This window comes from Homo sapiens, chromosome 6 (assembly GCF_000001405.40).
Source record: "Homo sapiens chromosome 6, GRCh38.p14 Primary Assembly".
NCBI lineage: Eukaryota > Metazoa > Chordata > Mammalia > Primates > Hominidae > Homo > Homo sapiens.
This window is the reverse complement of record NC_000006.12, coordinates 9,889,183-9,916,337: the sequence shown is the minus strand read 5'-3', so window position 1 is coordinate 9,916,337 and position 27,155 is coordinate 9,889,183. Positions and strand designations below refer to the sequence as shown.

Genomic DNA, 27,155 nt, shown 5'->3' with positions numbered 1-27,155 from the left:
AGTTCCACTTTTATTTTTATTTTATTTTTTTGAGTCTTTTTTTTTATTTTTTTGCGTCTTGCTCTGTCGCCCAGGCTGGAGTGCAGTGGCACTAACTCGGCTGACTGCAGCCTCCACCTCCCAGGTTCAAGCCATTCTCTCGCCTCAGCCTCCCGGGTACCTGGGACTACAGGCATGCACCATGATGCCTGGCTGATTTTTGTATTTTTAGTAGAGATGGAGTTTCGCCATGTTGGCCAGGCTGGTCTTGAACTCCTGACATCAGGTAATACACCCTCCTCAGCCTCCCAAAGTGAATAGTTGCAATTTTAGTATAAGAAAAATTTTACTAGAAAAATTTATCATGATCTTAGTGTTTTATGCTTTCGGCATATGTTTTCTATGCTTAGTATTTTATGCTTTTAGCATAATTTAGATTAGTCTTTAATCTCCAAATAATTTCATTTAGAATTTCTTTTGGACACTTGTGTTTGCTGTCAAAAACAATTTAATAGGAAATAAGCTTTCTTGGACCTTCAGCAAGTTGCTTTAAAAAATTAAGTTAAAAAAAATTAACAAGAAAATGAGCTTTCCTTAGCTTTTATCAGAATAATTGACCAAAAACCCAATATAAAAAGAAAAAAAATGGGAAGTCCTGAATCCTTTGCTTCACGAGATAGATTTTGTCTATAAGTTACAAGATTTTTTAGAAAAAAGATTATTTTGTTTAAACTAAACCCAATAATCCATTATATTGATTGTTTCATATTGAAGTATGTTTCAGTGTGATGAAAGACACTATTACCGGAATGAGCCCTTAAATACAATACATACATACAAGTAATCTTAGATCCATGAAGGACATGAATTGTTAAATGAATGAAGGCAAAATTGGAAAGATTGGAGGGGTGATTGATGTCTAAGATCAGGTACTTCATAATTTGAAAGGCAACTTTCCAAACTCTACACATTAACTTATTTACATGTAAGGTAATGTTGTCAAGCTTCAAACTAGCAGGAAAGAAACCCCACTTTGATTTGACTTTTGGGGAACTTTTAAATATGAGAAAAAACAATGTACTTATACTTAACCTTTGAATTACCGCAATTACTTATGTACTGGAAGCATCTTCCTGTTTAGAAGTTAGGGACACGCTTCAGCTCCTTGAGGATTCTAGGTCCAGTGAGCACACGATGCATGAATGCCTTGGGGTACTGTGGGATAAAGCCTGGCAGCGGTTAGCCACTCCACAGCACTCCAGTGGTTTGCAAGTCAAAGTGCCTCATAATTTACTGTGAGGGAGGGCCTTAAGGGAAGAAAGAATATGGCTCAATTAATTAGAACTTGTTAGCAAACTTCAACTGTTATCCAATTTAGATTTTCAAATTACCGATATATCAAATACCCACAAGATTTGGGAAGGAAGGAAGAACAAGCAGTTGAGAAAGCTAATTTGTCCAACATGGTACCAGTTCTTGAATATTCTGTTAGCAGCTGACCAATTTTCACATATTAGCCTTTCTATAAAGAAGAAGAAGACGGCCAGACACAGTGGCGCATGTCTGTAATCCCAGCACCTTGGGAGGCTGAGGTGAGAGGATCACTTGAGTCCAGGAGTTTGAGACAAGCCTGGGCAACATGGCAAGATTTCTCCCTCTACAAAGAATAAAAAAGTTAGCTGGGCATGTTGGTGCATGACTGTGGTCCCAGCTACTTAGGTGGCTGAGGCGAGGGGATTGCTTAAGCCCAGGAGTTTGAGGCTCAAGGCTGCAGTGAGCTATGATGGTGGCACTGCATTCAAACCTGGGTGACAGAATGCGACTCTGTCTCAAAAATTAAAAAGAAAGAAAAATTAAAAAAAGAAAAATGGTATAAATTTTTCTTCTATCTCTGACTTTCTGTTTTTAATTATGTTGTTACTTGTATGCCTTTCAGTTTGGGATTCTGAGTAAGATTAATAATCTTGATGACCACCTATAGATGCCTATGAAAGTCTAATATTAATTAATTAATTATTGAGTGTTATCTGGAGCTTTATAAAAGGTTTTGATTTGTTATCATTATATCTTCAAAGTGGCTATGGTTGGTATTTAGAAAAGTTAATGATTCTTTATGATTATATGGCTGTTTACCAAGATGTTATTCTTATTTGAATGACATCTCCTCTGTTCCGAAAGATTTTAAGTCAAATCTCTTGTTTTCATGGCATGAAATCATATTGCCGTCAAATAATGTGTATGCAACATACAATTTTTTCAATAACTTTGGCACATATTTTCCTTATTTTTACCCAGTTATGCTTTGGCCAAGATTTCTAGGAGAATGTTAGATAATCAGATTCATGATGGATATCCAAGTCACAGTTTGCATTTTTGTGACTGGTTTTTTATTTGTTTGGTTGTTTTGTGTTGTTGTGTTTGATATTTAGTACAGTGAAGACAGTTTAAGATAACTGTTTTTTTTGGTTGTTTTTTGGTTGTTATTTTGATATTTAAGAGTTAGTTATCTTAAACTAAGTCTTCATTGTACTAATTTTTTTGAGACTGGATAAAGAAAATGTACATGTACATCATGGAATGCTGTGCAGCCACAAAAAGGAATGAGATCATGTCCTTTGCAGGGACAAGGATGAAACTGGAAGCCATCATTTTCAGCAAACTAACGCAGAAACAGATAACCAAACACTGCATGTTCTCACTCATAAGTGGGAGTTTAACAATGAGAACATATGGACAGAGGGAGGGGAACATCACACACCAGGGCCCGTCGAGGGCGGGGTGAGGGGAGGGAGAACATCAGGAAAAATAGCTAATGCATGCGGGGCTTAAAACCTAGGTGATTGATAAGTGCAGGAAACCAAATGACACTCACATATCTATGTAACAAACCTGCATGTTCTGGACATGTATCCGGGAACTTAAAACAAAACAAAACAAAAAGCTATTTTTTTGGTTGTTTTTTGTTGTCATTGCTTTGTTTTGATATTTAGTACAATGAGGACTTAGTTTAGGATAACTATTTTTTATCATTAAGAAATATTCTTGTATTTTTAGTTGCCTTTTATTTACAAAATATTTGTAAATCAACTTTATAAAAATAGTATTTGGAATTTAGTATGGTGCAGTGTGTTTAGATTTGACATTGTCCCTATTCTTCTATATTCTAGTGTAGTCCCCTGATTTCTACTTATGTTTTTATATTTATGTAGACTTTCTGGCCCTATGGACCTTTAAGCTAGAGATACTTGTATTGGATTTTCAAAGTGGGAAAAATATGACGTTTTCCCAAAATTATTTATAAAGTTCATAGGAATCAAACTTAATTTTATTCTTCCAGGCTTCACGGCTTTAAAAAGAATACTATTCAGGAGAATGTCCTCTGTGGTAAAATTTTGGTGCATGGTTGTAATCATAAAATACAAATTGTTTAGTTATTTAGTTTATAGTATATTACAGAAAACACAGTTATCGGTGAGGAAAAGCTGAGCTGAAGCAGGTGGATTTACAGGAAAAGAACAAGAATGGGACCAAAAAAAAAAAAAAACTCCTGAGAAACACACAAATGCATTAGGTTTTTCTTCCTCTCTAGCTAATGTAGCTGATTTGAAAGGAAGTGATTGCTTCATTGAGTCAAGGCACTTCGATGATTGTTACTAACCTTCCTCTGGTGGGCAATTTCATTCTCACTCTTACAGCCCCCAAGGAACTGCATGGGTGCACACTAGAGGATTTCCTGACCAAAGTTCATGTACAGTGTAATTTAAGTAAAAGCCCTGATTATGTTCTGTGCTGCTCTGAGTTAAATGATAGGAAAACCTGATACATGTGGAAGGGCAGAAGGCAAGTGCGTGTGTTTTCCTCTCCTAGTTCAATAAAAGATAGCACGAGAAATGAATTAACTAATGCGATTCTAGACATTAAACAGCTAATACTGGGAAGTTGGAAGCAAAAAATGGAGTATCAAGAGTATTGACAAGACCAATTTACTGATTGATTGGTTTATATATCACATCTGATTGCTTCAATGTAGAACCATACTTCAACATACATATGTGTATACACACACACATGGGATTGGCATATATTCATCTGAATATTACAAGGAGTTAAATATCAGCCATATTAAAATCTATCGTATTTGTATTGCTAAATGCCCTACTTTGAATTTCTCAGTGGGTCTGTTAATTTTCCTGTGAGATGATTTTAGATATATCCAAAAGCATACTCTGAATGATTAGGACATTTTAGGAATTGATTCTATTAGCAATCTACCTTCTGGTAATATACACCATATCCTTAAGACTATCCTACTTTATTACATCCTGATCCCACCCAATGAAAGGCAGCAAAAGGAGCTACTGTTATGATGGAGTCCATTGTTTCTAAATTTATAACAGGTTCCATATGCTTACTCTTCTAAATTCTACCTGCTGTGTTTAAATTATTGGTTTATTAATTCAAGGACTAGCAATAGAAAGAAACAATCATTTTAATATTTGAGAGTGTTTTTATTTGATTCATAGGCTGATTTATGTTATGCAAGCAATTAGAAGAATAGCTTATGAAAATAATAATAAATACATTATAGCTTTACTTTCTCAATTGTCTTGAAAGCATAGTGTCTTAATCCTAAGTGGCATCCTTGTTTGAAACAAAGGTAGAGGCAAGAGATGCAGCCCCCACCCCTTCCTGGGGGTCTGACCATCCTTACCTGGCACTATTTTTTCTCATCACTTTTCACTATCTAATAAACTATAAAATATACATATTTATTGTGCTTATTCTTCCACTCACAGAATGTAAGCTCTGTGAGGAGAGGGATTTTTGGGTATTTCATTTTACTGCTATAGTCCCATAATAAGCACTCAGTAAGTATTGGTTGAGTGAATGAATGAATATGCAACATCGGAAGGTGACACTTTTCAACAGTGCACTAAGAATTTCAGCAAAAGCATTAGTTAACATTGATTTAGGGGCTAGTGAAGAAGTTTGGGTTCCCTTATTCGCTTTATTAAATTGTAGCTTTAGGAGGCCAAGAAAAGTTGAGGAACATCTACCAACAAATTGTGCTTCCCATGACTTTATGCCCTTGAGTCTTTTCTCCTTTGCCTAGATGTCAAAAATTTCTTTCCCCTGTATTTCTGACTGGCTAATTCCTAATCACCTTTCCAAAAACTTATTTCCAGTAGCCATTCCTCCAAGAAATCTTCTTTGACACCCCCAATATGGGGTAGATGCTTCTCTAATATTCTCAACCAGAATTCCATTCTTTAAATCATACCGGATTGTATATGTTTAGCTTCTTTCCTCTCCCCTGCTCTGAAGGCAGGGGTCATAGTTTTCTTGTTGTTGTTGTTGTGTTGGTTTTTTAAATTCAGACAGTGCTCAGTTCCTAGAAGGCACTCAATTAAAAATAAAAGTGTGGGGGTAGGTGGTGATGATGGGGAGGAGAGATGGGATGGGGGAATAGAGAAAAAATAGGAATAAAAGGTGATGAAAGGTTAATTAATCAAGAAAGAACATCTAGCCAATGAAAGGATTAGGGTATTACAATAGGTTTCCAAGAGAAGTTTATTTAACTAAGGAATTCAGATCATACTATAAGCCAGGTAATATTCTAGGCACTGTGGGTGCTGCAGTGAGCTAAGAGAGAATGTCTTTGCATTCACAGAGGTTATATTTTAGTGGGGAAGACAGACAATAGTTGAGTATAAACTGTATTTGTAAAACGATGCTTAACAGAATGTAAAATTAATATAAAATGCATTTAAATTGTAAAAAAACATAAATTATAGAGTTGTATTACAGTATAGAACTTGGGAATGTTTAAAGGACTTCAGAACTAAGAGTGTCAAAGCTGTCTCTTTGCTCAAGTGACCTCAGAATTCTTTCCTTGTAAAATGCTGTACATGGGATCCCAGAATGGGAAACGCAAAATGAATCCCTCCAGGAGTGGTATTTGTAACTTGATACGTGTACATCAACCCACATGAAACGCAGAAGGAACAATCTGTATAGACCTTAAAGGGCCCTGCTTCCAGTTGTGTGTGGAGGCATCAAACTCTGAAGGGAAATGGTGGTCTGGAAGGCTCCCAGGGTACAGACCTGATTCATGTGCAGCTGGACAAGACCCCAACTTCTCCACTGACAACAGGGAAGCAAATGGTTTGAGAATCTAAAAACTAAATACACTACTATAGACTTTTGGTTAAATATGACTTAACTTTTTTCACCCTCCAAGGTTTTGATTATCTTGCTAACATTTACTAGTCAGTTATAGAAGACAAATAATTTGAGTTTTGTATTGGATTGGAGAAGCTTCCAGACTATGGGTACCAGTAGTTGATTGACAATATAAGGACTATGCTACCATGCTTGTGCTAATATAGGTGAATTATTTTACCAGCATATGGAAGGGCATAGTTAGAGTATCACAGTGCTTTGTGGTAGAGAAAAAGAAAAAACAATTACAGTGAACGAGGAAGAATGGTGTTATTGCAGTACATAAGACTTTGATTACATACCGCCAAGATTCATATCAGCCTAGTAGTTGTTGACAAATAAAGTAACAAAAATGAAACTCATTTATTTTTTGCTTATTGAGACCTCAAGGTAAAGCAGATTTTCAGTTTTTGTACTTACTGCATTGATAGAACAGAGACTGCCACAAAAATGTGTCAGCCCAGAAACAGAAATTAAACCTAGGTTCACATCAAAATTTCATTTAGCCTTGGAAAAGGAGCTGCTGTTTGGATTACTTTTGATCCTAAAACAAATATACTAAAGAATATCACAGTATACCTGATATGTATTAACCCTTCCCTGCAAACAATACTTTCAAAGTTGTTTTCATTCTACAAGGCTTTATTTCTTTTGCAATGTTTGAGGCAACTTGAATTATCGTCAGAGTAGGGTTCATTTTGCTGAATGCAAATTACTAGCCACAGACATATACATTTCAGTCTGCAGGAAGTATGAAACTAGATTTGGAAAATTAATAGCAGACCTTTTCCTCTATTACAAAGTTATACCTCATGCTACAGTTTGGTCATGAAGATAAGGACAGAGTAAGTGGGAGACGTGATGTGAGAAATTTTGGTTACTGGTGTTGAGATTGTTGATGTGTGTGGGATAAATTTCTGGCTAAGTCATTTGTATCTTCCCTTCATGTCACTGAAGTTGACATAAGAAAGATCTATAAGCAAGCCTGTCTTTTTTCTTTTCCTTCCTTCCTACTTTTCTCCCTCCCTCTCTCCCTTTCTTTCTCTCTTTCTTTCTTTTCACCCAACTAGCAACATGTACATTCTGCTGTAGTTTTTCATAATTAAGATAGTAAAATTGCCTGTGGAATTCTGGACGCAACAACATGATACACTTAGTAAAATATAAGTAAGTAAATATAATCATCCGTGAGTTCTACACATCATTATAATCCAACTATTTCCATGTCATGAGTATATCCTAAAAATAGTTTGGCTTAAGTTTTTTATTATTATTCTAAAGTCTACATTTGATAATTTTCTCATTAACTTTTTAGCAACAGAAAGATAGCATGAACTTGTTTCTTGAATTACCTTTTCTGACCTTTTGCAAGATGATAATTACAAAAAAGGGAGGCCTGGAAGACTTGTAAAAAAATTAAGCTTATAAAAGAGCTAAAATGATCCTTCTTTGCTGGTGTCGATTTCAAAATTAACATTTTGGTTCATGTGCTTCTAATAATCACTGACCCTTACCTCATGTACTTTCCACAGGAAATGAATACGGCAGAAATTACTTTGACCCACTGATGGATGAGGAAATAAACCCAAGGCAGTGTGCGACGGAGGTCAGCAGAGAAGGTGAGCTAGAATTAAGTATGTAATTTTTGTGTCAGAATATTCTTTTCCATTCATGAAAATGAGGTGACAAAGATCACACATGCAGTTCCATTTAGATTTTGCAGCTTACAATTTAAATGGTAAGTTTTAACCACTAACAACTTGATGGGCAGCGAAGGTAATTTTTCATCAAGGACAGTGGGCTGGTCAGATGGAAGAAGCAGCGATGTGCTTTCATCTGATGCTACCGTGAGCAGTTTGATGCCATCATAAGGCCCATGTATGTGTCTGAGGAGTGTCATCACCTTCAAATGTATCTCTGCTTTTTGAATTTAAAATGAGCATTCTTCAACATATTGCATCTAGCATGTGAGATTTCCATATCCTGTGATGACTGAATTTCTTTCCTTGAATTCATGGAACCACCACCTAACTTTTGAGAATTACGAAGGGGAAGTGACATGATAACAATTTCCTCTTCTATAATCTCGAATACTAGTTGCGGTTCTAAAGTAACAATTCAAAATTGCTCAAGTGCATAATATTATGCATATTTTATAGTTTACAAAATAGGGTTTTTATAAAGGTTATTGATGAGATATTGACAATGACAAATGTTACTTAGAATCAGCTGCAGTCCAGATCATATCCCACCAGTGGGTGCCAGACATTGAGTCTGCACCTTTTAATAAAAGACTAGGGTAAATTCTCACAAAAAGGACTCAAGCATAGTGCAAAGGTTATTTTATAAAGTAGCTCTCAATAACCTGTTTTTAAAAGATGCAGAATCCACAGATATTATCAAAAGACCTATGTGCAAGATAAGACAAGGACTTAGTCTCAGAGTCAGTTTTCACTGGTAGCTCAAAAGCCAGGGTGGATGTGAGGCTGGAAAAGTTCAACCTTCTATTTACCCAAACACACTTGGAGGGTAAGAGACAATTCTAGTGATTTCTGGGGAGGGGTGTTGATTGAATTACCACTGAAGTCTTTTAAATTTCTTAGGAATCACAATATATAGTTATATTTGGTGGAATGTTGAGAATGCAAGGACTCCCTAATTTGGGAAAGGTGACTTAATAAGTTGTGTTCAATGAATAAGGAATGGTTCTAACTACAGACAGGTAAGTTTTATGAAATATTGCTGGTCACCTTTTCCCCTTCCCTAGTCAGTTATTATTGTCAGACTCCCACAGCTAACATGGGGTCCCCTGTTTCAGAGCAGGAAGCTCTTTCTGTGTATTTACCCGCAGCCAGCTCTGTGCTGGTGTGTGCTGCGGGAGGTGGGGCCTGGCCCTCTTGCCAGCTGTGGCTTCCACCTTTCTACTGAGTCTCGTTTCTAATGAGCTCCTTCGCGATTGTTTTTTATTTCCTCCACTTCCTTCTAATTGTCTTCCCGCTTTTTCATCTCTTCTGCTTTCATTATTTCCCCTCGTTTCTTCCTCAGTGTTTTTTCCCTCTTCTTTCTGAAGTTCCTTCTTAACTACAAGGTGCATTTTATATATATTGGAAACAGTTTTTAGATTTATTTTGAGACAGGATCTCACTCCATTTACCCAGGTTGGAGTGCAGTGGCATGATCACGGCTCCCTGCTGCCTCAACTTCCTGGGCTCGGGTGATTGTCCCACTTCAGCCTCCCGAGTAGCTGTGACTACAGATGTGCACCACTACACCTAGCTAATTTTTTGCTTATTATTATTATTTTTTTAGTTGAGATGGAGTTTCACCATGTTGCCCAGGCTGGTCTCAAACTCCCGGGCTCAAGCAATCCACCTGTCTCGGCCTCTTAAAGTGCTGGGATTACAGGGGGTAAACCACCATACCTGGCCTTTAGATTTCTTTTTCTCTCAAAATAGGTAAGGATTTATGTATCTTCATTTCATCTATCCAGGCTCTTTGTTTCTCATGCTATGGCTTAGGAACTCATGGTTGAAAAACAGGCTTTCTCCATTCTCCTAGATTTTCTATAAGTTATGTTTTGTTACCCTGGAACCCTGTGTATTCACATGATATAAATGAGATGCAATGGGCCAAATGTGACTGGTAAAAGATCAGTCTCCTCTATATTTCTGCCACCTTCTAGGGTGTTTCCATGAACAAAAGGCCCATTCCTAATAGCTAAGCCCTACTCTGCTTATGGTATCAAGAAAAGAAAATATAATGGAAACTCTATGAGGGAAGGAATTCTATGCATCTTATTCATTGGTTGCTGTATATTCAGCACTTAGTGTCTCACACATAATATGTATGTGACACATATTTGCCCAAAATCCAATGAATAATGTAGAGTCCTGCACTTTTATATTAACCCATAAACTTCATGTGACCAGATACTAGATCTGTCAAGATTAGTCTGATATTCATCATACAGTGAGCTCCATTTTCTAACATTCCATTATCAAAGATAACAAGTTCACATCAGATATTTGAAAATATTTTTGGGGAAAATAAGTAATTGCTCTCTGACAAGGGTGTTTTGTGATGTGCTAACTTTCCCTGGATCATATCTGACTCTCTATAAACTACCGTCATGATAGATTGGCTTTAAATTGTCCAGTTTCACCAGTGGAAATTAGTTTTTGTAAATCCACTTAAAGGGTCCTATTTCCAGAAATATTCTTATATATATATAAATATATAAAATATAATATATAAATATATATAATATATAACATACTTCTATATTATATATTGTCACTTGTAATATATAAGTAATATATAATATAATAATATAGTAATATTATACTACATTTTTAAAAAGAGGACTTATTTGGCTGGGTATGGTAGCTTACACCTGTAATCCCAGCACTTTGGGAGGCCGAGGCGGATGGATCACCCGAAGTCAAGAATTCGAGACCAGCCTGGACAACATGGTGAAACCCATCTCTACTAAAAATACAAAACTAGCTGGGCATGGTGGCATGCACTTGTAATCCCAGCTACTTGGGAGGCTGAGACAGGAGAATCACTTGAACCCAGGAGGCAGAGGTTGTAGTGAGCTGAGATTGCACCATTGCACTTCAGCCTGGGAAACAGAGTGAGACTCTGTCTCAAAAAAAAAAAAAAATGACATATTTGAGGTGGGATCAAGTATTCACAGTCACTTGGGGTTTCTTCTGATAATGGCTTCCACTGGTGAATTCCTTCAGTGTAAAAACACAGCTATTGACCAAAAGCCTTTTATTGGCCAGTTTTGAGATTCAGTCCCATTGTCCAAGTGGTGGCAAAACATGAAACATCTCAATCGTATGACAATATCTTTCAGAGTTGTAATAGGAGAACAGAAGAAACAAGAAGATGCGGGTATGCAGAAAGAGAGCTCAGCTCAGTGCCCCCTGATAAGATGAGTCCTCAGCCTTGAGTCTGCAATTCATAATGTCCTCTTTTTCTTTTTGCCTGGTACTCACACCTGCACCGTGACTCCATTTAGGGGTCAACCAGTGCTAATTAGCAATATTTCCACTTTCTCTGTGGCATGGAGTTAGAGGTTACGCAGACACGTAACATCAGAGCTGCTGGGAGGGTCCGAGAGAGGGGCAGTCTGAAGCAAGCTGCAGTTCACAGCATTTCGTGTGGCAGAATTTTGGGAACACCCCAAAAGTCTTGCTTGCACCCATCTATCTTCACTTTGGTTGAGGTGTTTTTGTTTGTTTGTTTTTTTACAGGCTGGAGTTGCAGTGGCATGATCTCAGCTCACTGCAACCTCCATCTCCCAAGCTCAAGTGATCCTCCCACCTCAGTCTCCTGAGTAGCTGGGACTACGGCACACGCTACCATGCCTGGCTAAATTTTGCATTTTTTGTAGAGATGGGGTCTTGCTGTGGTGTTCAGGCTGGTCTCAGACTTCCGGGCTCAAGCAATCTGCCTGCCTCAGCCTCCCAAAGTGCTGGTATTATGAGCCACTGCAGCTGGCCTGGTTGAACTCTGTTCTTATATTTATTTGTTTATAATCTGTACTTTACTTCCAAAACAATTTGAGGTAGCCTACAACAGAAGCAGAAATGCACATAATTATAGAAAAGTTCAAGTAAAGATGAAGGGGGGATTTGAGAACACCTGCAAAAAAACACAGGACAATATTGTTACCATAATTAAGCACTCATTTTTACATTGAGCTTCCTGGAAGTAATGGTATAAAGAGAAAGATCATAAGTAGGTTACTTCCTATGTTTAATAGAAATTATACTCTATTTTCAATGTAAATAACCCAACACCAGCATGATTTTTTTACACTAATTTTGGAAGGGTAATATGATGTTCATTTGTATATGGTAGAGAGTAGAAATCGCAAAATACTTTATTATTAATTACCATTAAATGCCTTTTACTTAATATAGAATACAGATTTCAGTGCTACTATGTAGTAGGTGCGTAACATTTTATTATTTTCCAATTTTGCATATGACCTGATGTAGGTAATAATAGCTTGTAGATTAGTCAGAGTTCTCCAAAGAGGGATAACCACCTGGATGACCTTTTTGACCCTCTTCCAGAATAATGTTTTAATAGTGTGTGTGTGTGTGTGTGTGTGTGTGTGTATGCATGTGTTTTGCAGGGGGTGACGACATGGCCTTAATGCTTTAAATTCACAAAAGAAGTTAGAATCCCTGTATTTCCTACTATATTGCAATAGCACATATAAAATAATCCAGAACCATCTAACTTTGTTGTTCCTTATACATAAATAGTAAAAAAATGATATATAGAGAGTAGCTAATGGAAAACACTCATTCATTTTGATCACTTGTGTATTCTATTGCATGTTTTAACAAACCAAAATGGGTTATTCTGAAATGATTCTTGAGTAATAGATGGCATAATTCATTGAACATGAGATCAGTTTTAATGGAGAAGTATCCTATTATGCATGCCTTGCAATATACATTTTAAAATCATTGTTCTAATGATATTTATTTATAAAAGGGTTTTCTTTTTCAGAACAAGGCAGCATATTGAGTAGAAATTTTGTCTATGAACCAGAATATAACTAAATAGCCATAATGATTAATAATTTCTTTTTGTAATTATGTTTGCACATCTATAAATTAATTGATGAGAAAGTTATCATGCACATGTTCTTTTAACACTCCCACAAGATGACGATAGAATTTTCTATAATCGATTAACGAAGCTTTTTGATGAGAGCAGACAAGGAGAACCCCAAGGTAAGAGACCAATTATCTTCAATCTTTTGTTTTAATATTAGTTGTAAATTGATTGAAATGGTTTCTTGCAAATGCTCACCTATCTTTTCTAAATATAACCATTCACTGATAACCTACGTGAGCTTTTGATTGTTGTAGATATTTAAATGTAGCTGAAGTTTAGGGGAAAAGTAATTATGACCCAATTTCCTATAATTGCATACAATTTATAACCCTAAATGGTGAAAATGATTTAAGATTTACTGTTGAAGGATCTTAAAATGGCATACAGCATACTTGGATTCACTAATTTATGAGGCTATGTGCTACTCTTTTTAAAGACTGGTCTTAGCTTTTGAACAAATGCTTTGGGGTGGTAGAAGGCAAATAGTATATTGTTCTCAACCTTAGTATGGAAATTCATATTTGCAAATGTTAGGCTCTTTAAGTAAAAACTTATTTTATGTATTAAACTAAGAATTTAAAGGTAACATTTAAAAAACTCAATTCTAAATTCTTAGTTTAACACATATAAATTCATGCCAGAACCATATTACAGTTTTTACCAAAGAATTAAATATAAGTTGCTGTATATTTCATGGGGAATAATTCTATTATTATTATGTTTTTACTGTATGTGCTTAGTGCTTCTCAATCATTTTGTCTTCCTTATTATAATAACTCCTCAAAGCATATAATAGGAGAGGGCTGATCATGATAAAGTCTTCTAATAGTTATTATTTCTATTAAATTTATGCTTAGACTTCATCATTTACTAGCTGTGTGACCCTGGACCAATTAATTAACCTTTCTTTGTCATTTTTGCCAAATGAACATATAACACCTGTCATATGGAGTAGTTATGAGGACTAAATTATTATTACATGAGCAGATGTGACACCTAGAATAATAAAGATAGTAACAGTAATCCTGCTGGTGAAAATATTAATGCCAGTTAAACATTTGAGTCCTTCCTAGGTGCCTGGAACTGTCCTAAGCAGTTCTAAATAATTCACTTGTTTAAACTTCATAACAACCTTTAAAGGTTAGTCCCCATTTTTATCCCCATGTACAGTATAATACCCTTCAAAATTTTATTCCTGCTTGGGTACACCTCCCCTTTACTTTTTTGCTATCAGTTTGTGTGGTCAACCATTTATTACTTTTTGCCTTTATAAACAAAGCAAACTCAGTTTTCAAGCCACCTCATTCTGAGGGATCCCAAGTTCAAATGGTGTATTAGAATTATCCAGAGAAGTGGAATCCAGTTGGTTTGATAATATATAGAGAGGCATTTATTTTAAGAAATTGCTTCACTCCGTAGCTGGGATAGCAAGTCTGAAATCCTTCAGACAGGCTGGCAGGCTGGAGAATCAGGTAAGAGTTGATGTGAAATTCAGGCAGGAGTTGAAATTGCAGTCTCGCATCTGAATTCCACAGGCAGCAGTCTGGAAACTCAGGTAGGGGTTGATGTTGGAGTCTTGAGACTGAAATGCGTGGGGCAGGCCAGCAGGCTGGAAATGCAACCAGAGTGTCTACGCTGTGGCCTTGAGACTGAATTCCTTCTTCTTTGGAAAGCCTCAATCTATATGTTTAAGAACTTCGACTGATTGGATGAGGCCCACAAACATTGTGAAGAGTAATCTGCTTTACTCAAACTCTACTGATTTAAATATTAATCACATCTAAATACACCTTCACAACAACATCTAGATTGGTGTTTGGGCAAACAGGTGGGCACCATAGCCTGGTCAAGCTGATGCTTAAAATTAAGCATCATAAATGGTTATGCTTAAGTCAGGCCTTTCTGTGTTTAGTCTAACTTCTGAGTCAGCAAACCTATTGAATACCTTTTAGTGCTGCTGTTTCTTTTCCATTCTGATGGCTTTTTCAGCTTGGATCCTTTGAAACCACCCAAGTCACACATTTACAGATAGCATCTAATAGATCTTCGGAAATCATTTATGGACTTACAAAAGTCTCATAGAATTTATAGAAGAGGCATTTTATGAACTATTTTATAGAAGAGGATGTAGCTGAGACTTAGAAAGTATAAAGTCTTATGCAAAGTAATATGGTGCATCAGGGAGCATAGAACAAGGCCAGTGGGCCTCTGGACACTAACTCAGTGCTTTCTCCAGCATGCCATCTCATTTCCTCCTGCAAAAGAAGCTCTCTTCTCATGATTCTTGTTAAAATTCTAGAATAGGAGACGTGGAAAATTTCGTATTATACCTTCCAGCATTTTTTACAGACTGGAAGAAGGAAGATCATTTTCTATTTACAGCATGCATCTGGCTGGATGAATAGATATCTTTTGTACATGATACTGTTTTCAGGTGATAGTGAAGTAAAGTACACATACCATTTATATAAATGCTGGCATTTCTATGCAAATAAACAAGGTAGCCCAAATAAAGTGCCTCTGTGTGCAGAGCTCAGGAAATGTTCTCAGAGATCCTAAGGTGGGAAAATGAACCAGAGAGCTCTGGCTTCTTCTAAGCCTATTCATCTCCTAAACTGGTTACAGCAACACAGTGAGTAAGTGGTAAGATGTTGGAGTAAACAACATGTAATATTAACGTACAGAAAAGCACAGTATCCACATTTCAAGATATATTTGGTAACTGGGAAAAAGGCTTAAATGTATAGCTGTACTTTGTTGAGTTTGTAAACATTATGGGATAAACAAAGGTGGTGGTGGTTGTTTTTTAATCTTCAAACTTCTGTGCTTTAGTTGTTTTCCAGTACATGAAATAGAAAATAATTTGCTAGTTGGTCGATTATGAAAAAACCAAACTTTACTGCATATAAGAAAATCAGTGATGAGTCTATTGTGTGTTTAGTCAACATTAAATTGACAAAAACAAGTGGAATTCCATGTGATTTTCTTGGGGTAAACAGATGAGAGTGGCCGGGAGGAGACTCTGAATTCTGAAGCACCTGGGAGTTCCAATAAGAGTCACGAAATCCACAAAGAAGCCAGCGAAGCCACCACTGCTCACCTTGAGGAGTTCCAAAGATCTCAGAAAACTATAATTCTGCTTGGAAGTTCTCCATTAGAACAGGTCAGCATTAAGAGTATATTGAGAAATGTAAGATAATCTCTCTTTTTCAAATGACAAGTTGAAGTGTCAGGCCTACACATGGTCTACCGATTTTGCTTACCAGCACACTGTTCCTAGAACACACACTAGTTATGACTTCATTGAGCCATTTCCTTATTTTTTATACACATTGTAAAATGTGTAGGCAGAAGTTACGCTCCTTATCGATATCCTTACCCACCCTGGATATTGATAAGGAGCATAATTACTGCCTACACGTTTTACAAAGTGTGTGAAATTTAGTTTGTACAATTTACTTCCATTATCTGGTTTTATTTTGTGTTAGAGAGCTTATTTCTAGTGTATTATGAATTACTGATAATAAAACCTGAAACCAGCATACATTTACTTGGAAAAACTAAGAAACTGCTTGGACTTATTTGCAAAAGCACTGTATTACTACATGAATATTCTAGCATTTCTAAAGTCACTATTTAAGGAACTTGGGCATTCTAACTGTTGTGACTTGTGCCACACAAGAGTCTTTAGCCATTAGACTATCTTGACTTCAGAGACAATCTGATTTCTCCTCTGATTTCTGTATCTGTAGGTTCTATTTATGTGTAATGTGGCATTATGTGCTCTGAACCACCAGATAGAGAAGTGATAAAAATAAAAGAATCTTACATGTCTAGCTCCAGGCATATGTGTGTGTGTGTGTGTGTGTGTGTGTGTGTGTGTGTGTGTGTGTGTGTTGTTTTGTGAAAGGTAAGTAGATTCAGGCTAAAGAGGAAAAAATTCGTCAGATGAAAAAGACTATTATCAATGAGATCTTTTATAACAACAGGTCACAAGTGGAGATATTTGCAACTTGAGAAGAGATAGGAATAGCTTAGGTGGGGGGTGGGGGGATATCCTCTAATTTGGAGTATGGAAATTCCATAAAACTGTTTCATATCTTCCTTTGTGCCAAATAGGTCTGAATATTGTAGACATATTAAGGTTGTGTCTATTTTGAACTTTCTCAAGCAAGTGACCCAAATTAGCAAATACAGTCTTCCTTAACAGAGCCACTTAGATGGCTCTGATAGTGGTTTGAATTGTGTTCTCCAAAAATGTGTACACCCTGGTATCTGGGAATGTGACCTAATTTGGAAATAGAGTCTTTGCAGGTATAATTAAGTTAAGGATCTCCAGATGAGATCATCCTGAATTTAGGATGGACCCTCAGTCCGATGACTGTTGTCCTTTTAAGAGAGAGGAGAGAGCGATTTGAGACTCAGACATGTGAAGGAGGCAGAAATTGATGCATCTACAAGCAAAGGACCGCCAAGGATCGCCACAGTTGCCAGCAGCTAGGAGAGAGGAATGAAATGGATTCTCCAGAGAGTCTAAGGAAGCCCCCACCCTGAGAACACTTTGACTTCAGACCTCTTGCCACCAGAACTCTGAGACAATAATTTCTGTTGTTTTCAGCTGTCATGTTTGTGATAGTTTTTTTGTGGCAGCAGTGGGCAATTAATACAGTTCCTGGGGTGGTTGATCTCACTGGCTAGGCTTTACTTCACTCATGTGTTAACCCTGCCACACATCTTTATGAAGACAGGGCTCTCAAAGGACATGGAGGCGAAAAGGATGCATGGCTCTGCCTTTGCACATAACCCTTTTTAAAAACAACTGTGGCCAGGCACGGGGGCTCATGCTTGTAATCCTAGCACTTTGGGAGGTCGAGTCAGGCAGATCACGAGGTCAGGAGCTCAAGACCATCCTGACCAACATGGTGAAACCCTATCTTTACTAAAAATACAAAAATTAGCTGGGTGTGGCGGTGCTCACCTGTAGTCCCAGCTACTTGGGAGGCTGAGAGAGGAGAATTGCTCAAAGCCGGGAGGCAGTGGTTGCAGTGAGCCAAGATCACGCCACTGCCCTCCAGCCTGGTGACAGTGAGACTCTGTCTCAAAACAAACAAACAAGGCCGGGCACGGTGGCTCACGCCTGTAATCCCAGCACTTTGGGAGGCCAAGGCGGGTGGATCATGAGGTCAGGAGATGGAGACCATCTTGGCTAACACAGTGAAACCCTGTCTCTACTAAAAATACAAAAAAGTTAGCTGGGTGTGGTGGCATGCGCCTGTAGTCCCAGCTGCTGGGGAGGCTTAGGCAGGAGAATGGTGTGAACCTGTGAGTCAGAGCTTGCAGTGAGCTGAGATTGTGCCACTGCACTCCAGCCTGGGTGACAGAGCAAGACTCTATCTCAAAAACAAAACAAAACAAACAAACAAACAAAACAATTGTTTTTCAGATGTGTATTGATACATTAACAGTTCATTTCCAATTTTTTTTTTTTTGCACCATACAGTGCCATTGTATCTGTTTCAATTTGCATCATGTTTTTGATCATGAATACGTGGATTTCTTTGGAATATGTGGCTAATATTTTTTATTTTATTTTATTTTATTTTATTTTATTTTATTTTATTTTATTTTTGAGATGGAGTCTTGCTCTGTTCCCCAGGCTGGAGTGCAGTGGTGCCATCTTGGCTCACTGCAACCACCGCCTGCCAGGTTCAAACGATTCTCCTGTCTCAGCCTCCCGAGTAGCTGGAACCTCAGGTGTGTACCACCACGCCTGGCTAATTTTTGTATTTTTAGTAGTGATGGGGTTTCACCATGCTGGCCAGGCTGGTCTTGAACTCCTGCCCTCGTGATCTGCCCACCTCAGCCTCCCAAAGTGCTGGGATTACAGGCATGAGCCACCACACCTATAGTTAATATTTTAAAATCCTCATTCTGTGCAAGATAAGTTGAGGCATTCTGTACAAGATAATTTAAATCCTCATTCTGTACAAGATAAGTTGAGGTTAATATTTTTAAATCCTCATTCTGTACAAGATAAGGTGAATGCTCACCTGCTACACTGTTGTGAGGCTATCATTCAAAGGCCAGCACAGTGTCTAGGAGTTCAACACAAGTAGAACTCAAGCCTGCATTTTTACCACTTGTTAGTATTAGGAGACAGTCCACACATTCGGGAGAATTCAAGTCTTCTGCAGATATGACCGTGATTCCCTTTAAACACTGAAATTTGTGATCCTGTTTCTTCTCCTAATCAATATGTCTTAAATTATGTGAAATTCGACCTAAACTGACTGGCTGAATAATTGCAAGAGAAATCATGTGCTGACCTATGAACACAGATTCATATGACAGAGTCGTATGGGGGAAGGAGGCTGAGCTGGAGTCAGACCTCTGTTGGGGCCATGGCTTTGCCACTCACAGGGTGTCAGATCATAGGCAAGTTACTTAACTTCCTTGACCTCAGTTTCCTCCTCTGTAATTCACAGGAAATTAGATCTACTTCATTGCATTGTATGGAGGATGAGATGAGTCATCCATGGATACTCTTGCTCAAAGTAACTGCTGTAATCAGAAGCAGGAGGTACTATAGAGAGCAAAGATTCTAAAACCCATTCTCAGGTCAGTGCTCGCAATGTTCTTATGTTCACTGTGTCGGGAAGTTCCATGAACACACAAGGCAACATCATAAGTAGGAAAAACCTTCAGATTTGGTGTTAGAACTCAGAGCTGTCATCCTTGATTCAGATATTTATGTGAACTTAAACCTCTTTGTAAAATAGCGCTAAATAATTTGAACCTCTTATGGGTGTGTGGGGATTGAGATGTGTCCAAGTGTGTGGCAGTTAACGTTTTATGTTTCTTGCTACTCATTTTCTATATTTGTTGAGACCATTACCTATTCTTACTTTCTATTGCTATTGTAATGGTGAACTGATAATTACATAAGGCAAGATGTTTAAATGGAGATGCGGGCCATCCCAGCTGGGGTGAGTGTTGTTGGCTGAGTCTCTTCTCCTAAACTACTTATCTATAACTGTTGATTTATATGGTGACTGGAGTGATTGCTTCTCATCCTAACATATGGAGAACCTGGGATGATAGAAGAATTCAGATTGTAAAAAGAGATGGGGCCCTTGACTAAGGTTACCAGTGAGACTGAGCTGGGAATTGTCTAGTACAGTGGTTATTATTTGAACACTCATTAGATTTAGAGATCCTGATAGTTGATGTACATCTTGGAGAAAATAAAAAGAGAAAAATCTCATATATACATCTATTGCATAGCGAAAGGATGCTGTTAGTAAACTTTGTGAAATATGAGTATCCAAGCACATCTACTGTGGGACCCCCATTTTTTTTCCCGTAGACAGAGTAGAACATAGAAAAATGAAGAGTTTGCCTTCTCACTTTGCAAAAGTATTGTGTGTGGTTGTGTATGTGCATGTCTGTGTATATGGTTGTGTGGGTGCGTGGATGTCTATGCCTGTATGGTTGTATCTTTGTGTATGTGTGTGTGTGCATGAACGTGGCTGTGGATGTGTGTGTTGGGGCAGAGAGTGTTGCAGAGTCCAGTGGGACTGGCATCACTGAATTCCCAAGTATCCAGCATAGAACTGATGAGAAAATCACTCTGGAGTCGACCTTTAGTTAGCAGGGGTGACAGCAATGTCAGCAGTGATGTAATCATTCCTGAAGCTATAGGAAGCATCAGCCAGGACTAATATGTGAGCTAATGTAAGTCACCCACTGAAGACTCCAGAAGTACCTGGAGAAGAACTTCTCTGCTGGCTGAGATCTCATGATAAAGGCAGACATCTGGCCTTAGGTAAGACGAATGTGATAGGTGAACATGATAACCACAACACTACAGAAACTTAAAAAAATCTGGTCACTTAATGTGACCACTTTTTATTGCACAGGTATCAGTCTACATGGGATAGGCGGGTTCTGTAAGTATCTTGAAAAGGTGCTGTGGCTGATGCTTCCTGTCTAAGGCCATCAAGGCAGCAGGGTATCACCTGACATGGTTTGGGCCTGTATCCCCACCCAAATCTCATCTCGAATCGTAATCCCCACATGTCAAGGGAGGGACCTGGTGGGAGGTGACTGGATCATGGGGACGACTTCCCCCATGCTGTTCTTGTGACAGTGAGTGAGTTCTCACAAGATCTTGTGCTTTAAAGGGGTTTGGCAGTTCCCCTCAGCTCTTTCTCTCTCTCATGCTTTGACATCATAAAACACGCCTTGTTCTCCTTCACCTTCCAACATGATTGTAAGTTTCCTGAGGCCTCCCCAGCCATGTGGAACTGTAAACCTATTAAACATTTTTTTCTTTGTAAATGACCCAGTCTCAAGTCTGTCTTTATAGCAGTGTGAAAATGGACTAATACAGTATCCCAGAACATGATGAGAGTAGAAGGAACAAAACCAAGAGTGAGGAGGATGAGAGGGGAAGTGGGGAGGTAACACTCTCAGAGTCAACTGACAGCATCCCACTTCAAGGGCCATCCAAATGATGCAATATCATTTTTATTCTTATCATAGGACCAATTGAGTTGCCTAAGTATAGAAAGCTACTTTAGAAATATTTGTGCTGACTTTTTATATCCCACTGACATTGGAAAGCTTGTAAGAAAGATGTTATGAAGTGACTTAGGTCTGACAATTATCTAGTAAAGAATAAAATTAATTGATTAAGTGCATAGTTTTAATAAATTTAGTCACAGAGGAAATTATTGTTTTTCAAATATGTATTTAATTAGAAATAAAATAATTTTATTTTGCATGTTAGCTACCAGGAGGAAATGTTTTCCTGGACATTCCCTAATATCTACTGTGTGCTATGTACCTGTTCCTAATCAGTTGCAGATAACTAGGTTTTCCTCTGAATTTTAATTGTGAACAATCCATACATTTAGTTTATTCAATTAGGAAACCATGATTTAAGGAGGTTTTTTTTTTGTGATTAATGAGTAGTGTTTTTTAAGGTTTTGTCTTGATTTAATAAATAAAATGTAGCATTTAGGCTAATGGTGGAATAAATATGCTAGCCCAGACTAAGTAGATGCCAGAGAAACATTCTGAAAAAAAACTAGTATATACTGGCAGTTAACCCTACTTTTCCAAATTCTTCATAACTTCCTGGCATTTGGCAGTAGGCGTGACTCAAATCTAACATTGTGAAGTGAGTGAATGTCAAGTTTGAGATCAGATACTTGGATATAGGAGAAATTTTAAAATGTAAAATCCGTAATAAAATCTATGTAAATTCAAGATGAATTTCATAAGGTACTTTAACAGATTAATCATTATATTTTCTGTAAGAAGAAACATATATTCTACTCTGTGGTTAGTATAGAAAACATTTTGGAGGGAAAATTGATTTTCAAAAATCATTTGAGACATTTACATGATTTTTTAAAACTTAACCAATATAGTAGCTCATATACCATCCCTTAAACATTATATTAAGTATAAATGCAGATATAATTTAAAAATTTAATGAATGAAACTATAAAAGGCAAAAAGGCAGGAGCACAAGTATTTTATGGTAAAAAAAAACTGGTAATTGTCCATATTTTACTTTAAGGGAAATGATAATGGCACTGCCATTCTGTATAGTTTGCAAGTTTCCGTCATATTCTTTGCCTCTTGTGAGGTGAGCAAGAAAAATGCCCTATTATTATAAATATGAAAGAATCTCTAGAGGACAGAAATATCATTTTACATTTAAAAGGCTCACAATTTTAACCAAAAGCTTTTAACACTTGGCTTTCTTTTCGTTTATTATTTTATCTATATTTTTAAATTCCTTGTTTGCCACTTAATATACCTTTTTTCCTTTTTTTTTTTTTTTTTCCAGAGTCTCGCTCTGTTGCCTAGGCTGGAGTGCAGTGGCACAATCTCGGCTCACTGCAACCTCTGCCTCCCAGGTCCAAGCGATTCTCCTGCCTCAGCCTCCCAAGTAGCTGGGATTACAGGCGCCCACCACCACGCCCGGCTAATTTTTTTTTTTTTTTTTTTAAAGTAGAGATGGGGTTTCACCATGTTGGCTAGGATGATCTCAAAATCCTGACTTCAGGTAACCCACCCGTCTTGGCCTCCCAAAGTGCTGGGATCACAGGTGTGAGCCACAGCACCCACCCTATTTGGCATACCTTTTGAGCTGCCCAGAATACTCTGGAGACACTTGGATAAAGACATTCTTGCCAAAGCTGACTGGAATTCCAAGAGAAGCAGGCTACCGTTGAGAACGAATAAACATATTTTAGTGTCATTATCTTTGCTTGGAAAATTATTTAGCAGTGACAATTTTGTATTTACTTAGTATCAGGTCACATTCTATAAGCACCTCTAGGTGAAAAGTTTTTGTTTCATTTGGAAAACAAAAAGGATGCTATTTTGTTACTTTTTTCATTATGATTTATTTTATATACCATCTTTTTTTTCTTCTGCAATTGGTAGTATTTTTAGTTAATGTTGGAACACAAAATAGTCTCCATTCTCCTTTCCAATATTAGGAGCTATGAAGTTGAGGCAACTGAGGTTACTGAAGAAATTTTATATCATTTTAAAAAATGTGTGGGTTCACAGCATAACAGCAATCTGTGAATGAGTGAAGCAATTGATTCTACAGTCTTTCAAAATAGGATGGTCCAAGCATGTATCCTTGGTGGTCAGGCACCGTCCAAGGATAACATTTTATGTATTTATAGGTGAGATGGGCTGATTATTCTTCAGTGAACATAACTTCTTAGAACTGAAATTCAGTACAAATAGATTGTCAGAGAATTTAAGGTTGTATTATTAAATAAGAATCAGAAGGGCAGAAATTCTTTATTTCTGATTGGGGCAGTCACATTTGTTTACTACTCAACTAAGTCTTAGGGTATGGTTGTTTCATGGGTTCTTATGGAAGTTCAGGAGCCAGAGAGGGCAGGAACCAGAATAGGAAGCCACCTACCTCTGCATGGACTGGGGCAAAAGAAGAATGTGTGTTGTCATTATTGGGAGTAGAGTAAGTCCTCACTTATGTTGTCAATAGGTTCTTGGAAACTGCGACTTTAAGTGAAATAACGTATAAAAATTAATTTACCATAGGCTAATTGATAGAAACAAGAGTTAAGTTCCTATGGCATATTTCTAGTCACAAATACATCACCAAACATCTAAATAAAGACCAAAACACTTACAATTTTAAGCATTGAAATAAATGTAGGCTATACATATGTTTAAGAAAAATTATTAAAAATGAGAAATATTGGCTAAATAAGAAAAAATAATCCCACTTATTCCAGTTTAGGGTGGAAGGTAGCTGGAGTCTTGTCCCAGCAGCTCAGGGCACAAGGTAGGACCCAGCCCTGGACAAGACACCATCCCATTGCAGGCTGCATTCACACACACCCACACTCACCCACACTGGGACAGTGTAGACACACCAGTGAACCTAATGGGCACATGTTTGGGATGTGAGAGGAAACAAGAGGACCCAGAGAGAACCCACACAGATATGAGAAGAACGTGCAGATTCCACACAGGCAGTGGCCCCGGCACGGAATTGATTTTCTTTGTTCTTGTTGTAATGAAGTGACACTGACTGAAACATTATTTGGGGAAACTGCTGTGTAGGTTTCCGTGTTCTCATAAAACCACACGGAGGAAAACGAAAAATAGGAGAACGGAATAATCGTTAGTAGATTTGCGTATCTGATTAAACTTGCAGATCCTGAAAGTTGGGTATTTAAAATTACAGTAAAATAGTTCTTGACTTACCTCCAGCTCTTCTTTATTTTTCATTTATATATGGGTCACCACCAACAATGATCAAAATATTTCCTCAAAGTTCAAGGCAAGCTCAATTGGCTGCCAATTAGCCTTTTGGTGAGAAGTCTTCTGAGCTTTAATAAACCAAATAAACATTTCTGAGATAATATTAACACGTGAATTTTTGGTTTTTGTTTTAGAGCAAAACGTCTACTTTTTATAAAACTTTGCTGCAGTTTCTCCATACTGAGTATGCCACACTCAACATTATTTTATTATGCATAATTTAAAAACAAAACAACACCATTTTGACAAAGGATTGAATAAGTTCACCCTCTTCTTTGATTACTTATTTCTATATAGTTTCTGGTATAACTAAACTTTCTTGAGAAACTCAGCCCTCATTTATATATCAGCAATGGATTTATGAGCCTCAAACTGAAAACTCGTGCTGTGTAAGACAGAAATGAGAAACTGCATTGCTTTCAGGAGAAAGAAATTCCCATATCTGATATCAAACAAATCTAATAACACTTCAATAATAAAATCAAGGTACTTGTGCTATATTCCATGAGTTCATTCAGAGAAAGGGCTGTATCTTTTTATCTTCAGCACCAAGAACAGGGCCTGGCAGAAAACAAAGTTTATCTTCATTGAATGTTTGTTCAATGAATGAATGAAGGAATGAGTGCATGCTGCAGATAACTAGTATGGCAAAATTATCATGGATCTCGTTGGCTTACAAATGTTTTGTAGTATTAATTTTCTCTAATGCTGTTATAATGTCGTTATGTGGAGTGTTACGATTTGGTACTTTCATGTACATCAACTAAATTACTTTTTAAAATAAGTGTCATAGAATAGAGAAAAGGGCCCTTTAATAATATAATAGCTAACGTTCATTGCATACCTACTGACACTATTTAAGCGCTTTGCATAATTTAACCTCACGGCTCCCATACATGGATACTGTTATCACCCCCATCTTATAGAAGAGCAGCCTAAGGCACAGAAAGGCCAAGTAGCTTGGGAAAGGTTTTACAGCTAATAAGTTGCTGAGTCAGGATTATAACTCAATTTTAATCATCACAGGGTACACAGTTTTTAAAAAATATGGCTTTTTAATATAAAATTTTCTATCAATCATCTGCCACTTTACTTTTTGGAGGAAGTGACATTCTCAGGCCAATTAAGTGATTTTCACATACTTGAAATTATAGTAGAATATGGACCAACATATTTTATGAGGCAATTGATCACATTATTTCATCTGTATTTGGTAAACCATTTATAAGCCAGGGTTCTATGGAGAAACAAAACCAATAGAATGCACACACACACACACACACACACACACACACACACACACATCTATGAGGACATTTATTATAGGAATTTGCTCACACGATTATGGAGGCCAAAAAGTCCCATCAAGTGCTGTCTGCAACCTGGAACCAGAGGAAGCTGATGGTGTGATTCCCAGTTTGAGTCCAAACACTGAGATCCAGGGATAGCGGTGGTGGGGCTGCTAGAGTCCCCAAGTAAGTCTGGGAGTTCAAAGACCACGAAACCAGGAGCTCTGTTGTCTGAGAGCAGGAAAAGATGGATGTCCTAGCTCAAACAGAGTGAATTCACCATTCCTCTTGCTTTTTGTTCTATTCCAGCCCTCAATGGGTTAGATGCTGCCCACCCACACTGGCGAAGGCTATCTTTATAACTCAGTCTACTGATTCAAATGCTAGTCTCTTCTGAAAATATGCTCACAGACACACTCAGAAATAATGTTTTGCCAGCTATCAGGGTATCCCTTAGCCCAGTCAGGTTGACATGTCAATTTAACCATCACAAACCAAGAAAAACAAAGTTGGGAAATATTTACAATAGCTCGAAGACTCAGTGGTCTTCCTAGCAATTAAACTGGGAAAACAATGCCCAGTGCAGACTAAATTACAAAATAATCATCCCTTTATTTAAAAAATATTAATATTATTTTTGATTAACAAACAAAATTTTGTACATTTACAGGGCTCAGTGTGATGTTTTGATATGTGAATACAATGTGGCAGAATTAAACAAGGCTAATTAATGTAGCTGTCCTGTAGCTTATCTGTCTTTTTTAATGATGATACATTTGAAATTTGCTCTTATTTTGAAATATATAATACATTATTATTGACAGTAGTCACCCTGCTGTACAATACGTCTCAAAACCTATTCCTCCTGCCTATTTGAAACTTTGTACCCTTTGATCAACATCTCTCCTCTATTTTTCCCCTCCCTCACCTTCTGGTAACCAGTATTCAACTTTCTACTTCTATGAGTTTGACTTTCATAAAAGTGAGATCATGTAGTATTTGAATTTCTGTGCCTGGCTTATTCCACTTAACATAATGTCCTTCTGGTTCTCCCAGGTTGTCACAAATGACAGAGTTTCCCTCTTTTTTTAAGGCTGAATAGTACTCCATTGTGTATATATACCACATTTTTAAAGTCCATTTATTCATTGACAGATGCTTAGGTTGATGCCATTTCTTGGCTATTGT

General features: G+C 37.4%; 1 pseudogene across 1 annotated transcript in view; it reads left to right on the top strand.

Moving 5' to 3' along the window:
- The window catches only part of OFCC1 (orofacial cleft 1 candidate 1 (pseudogene)), a 506,631-nt pseudogene that overhangs the window by 295,271 nt on the left and 184,205 nt on the right, over positions 1-27,155 (top strand). Inside the window, exon 6 of the transcript NR_170155.1 lies at positions 7,734-7,820. The product of NR_170155.1 is annotated as an orofacial cleft 1 candidate 1 (pseudogene) (transcript). The remainder of the gene's footprint in view (positions 1-7,733; positions 7,821-27,155) is intronic.